Source organism: Homo sapiens, chromosome 1 (genome assembly GCF_000001405.40).
Source record: "Homo sapiens chromosome 1, GRCh38.p14 Primary Assembly".
NCBI classification, from domain to species: domain Eukaryota; kingdom Metazoa; phylum Chordata; class Mammalia; order Primates; family Hominidae; genus Homo; species Homo sapiens.
In genome coordinates this window covers 173,791,888-173,799,418 of record NC_000001.11, presented here as the reverse complement: position 1 = coordinate 173,799,418, position 7,531 = coordinate 173,791,888, and the positions used below count along the sequence as shown (strand labels likewise).

General features: G+C 37.2%; 1 annotated feature.

Moving 5' to 3' along the window:
- Positions 662 to 862: a silencer, noted in NCBI's record as "peak463 fragment used in MPRA reporter construct". NCBI's record gives its function as "represses an SCP1 promoter by STARR-seq MPRAs in K562 erythroleukemia cells {active_cell/tissue: K562}" and the evidence as "EXISTENCE:reporter gene assay evidence [ECO:0000049][PMID:32103011]".

The window sequence follows — 7,531 nt, the reverse complement described above, 5'->3', positions numbered from 1 at the left end:
GGCACCTGTGAGCCCCTTTTGAGGTCAGAAATTATCTTATTTAACCTTCATGTCCCAGTTTAGCATAATGCTTGGTAAATATCTATAGATTAAATCAATTTTAATCAACTCTTTCTTTTTACAGATGAAAACTGTGAGATCGAGGAACTTAAGAGTCTTGCCCATGATGTTTTATCCAAATCTCTTCTTTTTACTTACTGAGCATAAGATTTTCTTTTACTTTAGGAATAATTTTTTAAAAATCTTGATTGAAAGAAAATTATTAGGCTGTCATTCTCAAAAAAACAAAGATTGACTACTGGAATGGGATATTATTTCAGATGTACTAGGAGCAGTAGATGTAATGGGAAAAGCATGGGCTTTGGAGTCAGACATTCATCCATTCAACTAATCTTAAACTCCTACCATGTGCTTAGAATTGTACTGCATAATAGGAATATAGCAGTGAAGAAGTGAAAAAAGGTCTTTGTTCTGAGGAAATTATATTTTAGTGAAATAAGGCAAAAGGTTAATAATTTCAGATGGAGACAAATGCTATGAAGAAAATAAGGCAGTGCAATATGAAAAAGGGTGACTGGGGTGGGGCCTACCTTTCATACAGTAGTCAAAGAAGGTCTGTCTGAGGAAGTGACCTTTTGAACTGAGTCCTGAATGATGAGTTGGAACCAGCCATGTGAAGATCTGAGGAAGGGTGTGCTAGGCAGGAGAAACCTTGAGATAGGTAAGAGTTTGGCTGCTTTGAAGAACAAAGGAAGTTTTTTGGCTAGAGCATAGTGAATAAGGGTGTATGGCCTATTATGAGCTGAAACTGAATAGGTTGTGCAGCAAAGACTTCTTCCATGGCATAAAATGTCCCAATTTTTGGCTAGGGCACCTGGCTGCCCAGAATAAAGATGATATTTTCCAGCCTTCCTCGTAGGTAGGTATAGTCATATGAATATGTTCTGATTTGGGATACAAATTGAAGTGTCATATAGAGCTTCCAGAAATCTTACCTATAATAAAAAACAACTGGCATGTACCCCTTCCCCCTTTTCTTACTTTTCCCTTCTTCCAACTTTGCTGCCTGGAACATTGATATTATGACTAGTACTATAGCTATTCTCTTAGGTCTTGGGGTTGAGGAACAAGTCCTAGGGATGACAGAGCATGGCCTGGGAGGAGCTTGTGCCCTGAGGTTTTCTTGAAGGTGAACTCCAGTGCCAGCCTTGGGCAGTCTTCCTCTAGACTTACTTGTCAGAGAAGTAAACTTCTCTCTTGTTTTAGCTGTTGTCATTTTGGGTCTTTCTTGCTCATAGTCAAACTTAATCCTAACTTGATACAGAGGCAGGAGCTCTATCATCTAAGTTTTTATAGTGTGAAGAGATTGGATTTTATTCTAAATGCAATGGGAAGCCACTGAAAGATTTTAAGTAAGAGAGTAATATGATTCAATTAGTATTTTATAGGATTTTATAAGATATGAGGGAGAATGGGTGTAGGTAGACAAGAGTGGAAGAAGGGAAACAGTTAAAAGGTTATTGCAAATGATAAAACCCTAATGGAGAAGAAGTTAGCAATATTAAACAAAACTATGTGTGCAGTCACCCTTTGATTAGCAATTCCACTTCTAGGATTCTGTCCCAAAAATTCACTGGCAAAAAAATATGAAATGAAGCATGTACAAGGTTACTTATTACAATAGTATTTGTAATAGCAAGACTAAAAACAACTCAGATGCTCATCAGGCCTGGTATAGCTGCAAAATGAATTACTACTATGCAGCTATAAAAAGGATTGGGGAAGATATCTCTTTACTCCCATGGAGTGATCTCCAAGATGTACTGTTATGTGAAAGAGCAATGTATGTGGACAGAATGTAGAGTATTGTACTTTTTATGTAAGGAATGAGGGAGATATGAGTGTATTTCCTTATGCTTTCAAAAAACAATGAAAGGATAAACCACAAACTTATAACTGTATTTACTTATAGGGAGAAGGAAGGAACAGAGTAGAGGGGACAGGAATGAAAGTTAAGATTTACCTGAATGTTCCTTTTTAATAGTTTAGAACCATGTAAGTGTTTTGTATAATTATGAAAGAAAATTAGAACAAAAGGAAAAAACAAAGCAATCCTTAGCAATTAAAAAAAAATGAGCCTAACTGTATTAAGTTCATGGCATAATCACACAAGTTTTTTTATTCTTTTTTGAGACACGGTCTTGCTCTGTTGTCCAGGCTAGAGTGCAGTGGCACAATCACAGTTCACTGCAGCCTTGACCTCCCTGGCCCAAACAATCCTCCAAACTCAGCCTTCCAAGTAGCTGAGACCACAGGCATATTGCCACCAAGCCTGGCTAATTTTTTAATTTTTGTAGAGATGAGGTCTCCCTATGTTGTTCAAGCTGTTCTCCTGGGCTCAAGCGATCCTCCTGCATTGGCCTCCCAAAGTGCTGGTATTACAGGCATGAGCCACTGTTCCCAGCCCACACAAATTTTTTTCAGTATCTATTTTAATTTAATTTACTTTTATTTTATTTTGAGACAGGGTCTGGCTCTGTTGCCCAGGCTGGAGTGCAGTGGCATGATCTCAGCTCACTGTAGCCTCTGCCTCCTGGGCTCAAACCATCCTCCCTCCTCAGCCTCCCAAGTAGCTCGGACTACAGGTGCATGCAATAATGCCCAGCTAATTTTTTGTATTTTTGGTAGAGATGGGGTTTCAGTATATTGCCCAGGCTGGTCTTTAACCCTTCCCACCTGAGCCGAGGCTCAAACAATCCTCCTGCCTTGGCCTCCCCAAATGCTAGGATTATGGACGTGAGCCACCACACTTGGCCTTTATATTTTTATTTTAGAGATGGGATCTTGCTGTGTTGCTTAGGCTGGGCTCAAACTCTTGGGCTAAAGTGGTCTTCTTGCCCCAGCTTCCTGAGTAGCTGGACTACAGGTGTGTAACACCATGTCTGGCCTTTTTTCTTTTTTTTGATAATTTTTTTTTTTTTAGAGTTGGGGTCTTGCTGTGTTGCCCAGGCTAGTCTTGAACTCCTGGGCTCAAGTGATCCTCCCCTCTTGGCCTCCCAAAGTGCTGGGATTGCAGGCAGGAGCCACTGCACCCAGCCTGGAGTATCATTAAATTTGTGTATCTTTAAATTTTTAGTATCTTTAAATTTGTGGTATTTTGGTTGTATATTCTAGCAGGCTCCATCCTAGAAAAAGAAGAGCAGCAAATAAATTTTAAATCACATTCAGTTGTCTTAATAATGTAGCTATTATTATTTCGGCCTATTTATAATATGGTAACGTGTGTAAGAATTCAGATTTTCAGTGTAGGCTGGGCATGGTGGCTCATGCCTGTAATTCCAGCACTTTGGGAGGCCGAGGTGGGTGGATCATCTGAGGTTGGAAGTTCGAGACCAGCCTGGGCAACATGGTGAAACCCTGTCTCTATAAAAATACAAAAAATTAGCCAGGCATGGTGGCACATGCCTGTAGTGCCATCTACTCAGGAGGCTGGGGTGGGAGGATCACTTGAGCCTGGGAGGTGGAGATTGCAGTGAACCAAGATTGTGCCACTGCATTCCAGCCTGGGTGACATTAAAAAAAAAAAGAGAGATCATCAGTGTAAAAGATACACAATTATAAAATCAAGTAAGTAAAAACTCTAATATTACATTTAATTGGGAATATCAGAATTAACTCTTATTTTTAAAGTGCAAAAGTTTTAAATTTTCATTAAGTCTGACCAATTTTTGTTCTTTTATTGCTTGTACTTTTGGTGTTGAATCTAATAAATCATTGATTAACCTCAGGTCCTAAAGGTTTACTTTTGTTTTCTTCTCAGGATTTTCTAATTAGAAAATTAGGTCTGTCATTTTGAGTTAAATTTTGTGTATGGTGTGAGGTAGGGGTCCAAATTCATCCTTTTGCACATGGATATTCATTTGCTTCAGCACCACTTGTTGAACAGACTTTTTTTCCTATTGAAGTGTCTTGTCACTTTTTTTCAAAAATCAGTATTTCATGGATGTTTGGGTTTATTTCTGGACTTTCTATTTCATTGATCTACTTGTCACTTCTTATGCCAGTACGACACTGTCTCAATTACTATAGCTTTGTAGTGAGTTTTGAAATCAGGAAGTGTGAGACCTTCAACTTTGTTTTTTTCCCAAGGTTATTTGGCTGCGTCTTTTGTATTTCCATAAGAATTTTAGGATCAGCTTGTCAATTGTTGCCAAAAAAAAAAAAAACTTCCTGGGATTTTGATAATGATTGTGTTGAATTCATAGGGCAGTTTGGGGAGTGTTGCCATAATGATAGTAAATCTTCTAATCTATGAGCAGGATGTTTTTCCATTTATTTAATCTTTAAATATTTTATTATTTTAGATCTATTGAGAATGGAATTGTTTTCTTAATTTCATTTTCAAATTGTTTGTTGCTAGCATATAGAAATACAAGTGATTTTGTATATTGCTCTTGTATCCTGTGACTTTGCTGAGCTTATTTTAGTAGTTTTTTTTCACTGAATTCTTTAGGATTTTCTACATAAAAAATTCATATCATCTGTGAATAAAGACAGTTTTATTTCTTAATTTTTAATCTTTTGTTTCTTTTTCTTGCTGAATTGCCTTGGCTAGAATCTCCAGTACAATGGTGAATAGAACTGGTAAGAATATACATTTTCGTCTTGTTTTTAGTAGGAAAGCATCATGTCTTTTACAATTAAATATGATGTTGGCTGTAGGTTTTTTCATAGATGTCATTTATCAAGTTAAGAATGATCCTTTCTATTCCTAGTTTGTTGAGGGGTTTTATTATGAATAGGTGTTGCACTTTGTCAAAATTTTTTTTCGGCATCTACTGAGGTTATTCATGATTTGCTAAAAAACACATAGCTTTGTTTACTGGAGAGGCCCGGAAGCAGTAAAAAGCCATTAACAATGAACATTACTAACACACAGATTATGTTCTATAAGTATTTCCCACTAAAAGGAGCTAAAACTTCTTGAGGAAGGGCTGATTTCAGGTTTGGGACAAGAAATGTATAAAAATAACCTTTCATATATCAGAAAAGCAAGATAGCTATCAACAGTTGTGTCAAAAGGCTAGGAGCCAAAATGAAGGGGGACCCTACTTGCCAAAGGTGAGACAATTCACATATCAAAAGGAAAAAGTGTAATTGATTGAATATATAAAAATTTATTTATATCAATATTAAAGTAAAAATAATTTATGAGCTCATACTAATACTAAACAAAATTTTAGAAATTGGTGTTACTTTTGGAGGTTGCTGCAGAATCAAGTTCTGAAAATTGGTAAAGGGGAGAAGCAAACATTTTCTACTTTCTAGTATAAATTATATTTCAAGATAATCAAATAGCTGATCAAGGTAAGTTTTTTAGATATATTTCAGCTGATAAATGCAAAGGAATGAGAAGGCATCATTTATAACTCTCAGTGAAATAATAGATGTAAGCATCAATCATTAGTATCTGCTTAAACCCTTAGGTGAAAGATTGATGGAGTATTTTATAATGGAGCTAGCTGATAACACCCGAGGCCACTACCCACTGTTAGTATCTCTAAACACGGGCTGTCTAGGTATCACGTATGTTATGACTGGGTGCTATAGAGCACCTATGAAGTATTTCTAACAGCCTCTTTTTTTTTTTTTTTTTTTTTGAGACGGAGTCTTCCTCTGTCGCCCAGGCTGGAGTGCAGTGGCGTGATCTTGGCTCACTGCGAGCTCTACCTCCTGGATTCACGCCATTCTCCTGCCTCAGCCTCCTGAGTAGCTGGGACTACAGGCGCCCGCCACTATGTCCGGCTAATTTTTTTTTTTTGTATTTTTAGTAGAGACGGGGTTTCACCGTGGTAGCCAGGATGGATAACAGCCTCTTAATGTGAGTATCTTCGTAGAGAAATACGTTTAACTATATCTGTTGCAGTGCAGATACACACACCAAATAGAATAGAAACTATAGAAGAATTTCTAAAATTAAAGGGCAAAGGAACGAAATAGAAATTTGACCAAGTGAGCAAAAGAAGGGACAGGAAAAAAAGAAAACTTCAAAGTATAATAGTAAACAAATTAAGTGGTAACTAGGGGAATTTTAACATTGATTGGGTATTAGATGATATTAAGGAATGTTTATTTTATCAAGTGTGATAATGTTGTTATAGTTAGACCTTATCTGTTAAATACTCAAATGTGGGTGAAATACAGTCATGCATCACTTAACGACAGGGGTATGTTCTGAGAAATATGTCTTTAGGTGATTTCATCTTTGTATAAACATCACGGAGTGTACTTACATAAATCTAGATGGTATAGCCTACCATATACCTAGGCTATATGGGATAGCCTGTTGCTCCTAGGCTACAAACTTGTACAATGTATTACTTACTGTACTGAATACTGTAGGCAACACAATGGTAAGGATTTGTGTATCTAAACATATCTAAACATAGAAAAGGCACTGTAAAAACACAGTATTATAATCTTATGAGACCACTGTCATATATGTGGTCTGTCAATGACCAAAACGTTGTTATGAATGAAGTGCATGACTTTAAGGTGATGGCTGGGATCTGCTTTAAAATACTTCAGTGGTGATGGAGAGGAGAAGTAAGAGTGGGAGGAGACAGATAAAACAAAATTTACAAAATCTGTTAATTTTTGAAGCTGGATGGTTGGTATATGGAGGTTCATGGGTTTCTTATATTCTTTTATGTATTTGCATTTCCCAGAGTGTGAAAGATGAGAGAAAAACACTCAAGACAAAAGCTAGATTCTTTTTAAGCCTAATTTTGGAAGTGACATACCACCCCCCTATACTTTTTAATAGAGTTTATTTTTTAGAGCAGTTTTAGGTTCACAACAAAATTCAGTGGATGTTTACAGAGATTTCCCATATACCCTTTTTCTCTACAAATGCATAGCCTCACCCATTATCAACATTCCCCACCAGAGTTCCTAGCATCGCTATTAGGCACACAGACCAGACCAACCCTGGTGCATTTTGGGAGAGGATTACACAAGGGTGTGAATACCAGAATGCAGGGATCACTGGGGGCCTCTTAGAGCCTGACCGTGTACACCCTCACAGAACTTACTAGAATTAACATCAGAAAAGAAAGCTGAGAGAAAAGTACTGGGATATGAGGCCCTTATGATGATACCTGGTTCTCCTGTCTTATTTCTGGACACAGGCTTTTTTTACTTTATTCTCCTGAAAGCAGACTGCTTTGATTTCCCTGAACAGCCCATGCTGTCTCACTGCCTTCCTTCTGTATATCTTACACATGCTGCTCTGCCTGGAATGTCCTTTCCACTCTTGTCCACTTAGCAAAACTATTACTCTCTTTCAAACCTTTCTCAGGCTTAACTTCTTTTCTAATCATTCTTACAGTCCACATCAGGGCAGACTATTGAATCGCTTCTGCTGGGCTATGTAAATAATTCAATTGTTGCATGTTTTATACTGAGATGCATTATGTAAAACATTACCTGCCTTATTACCTGAAGTTTGGTGGTTTTGTTTGTTTGTTTT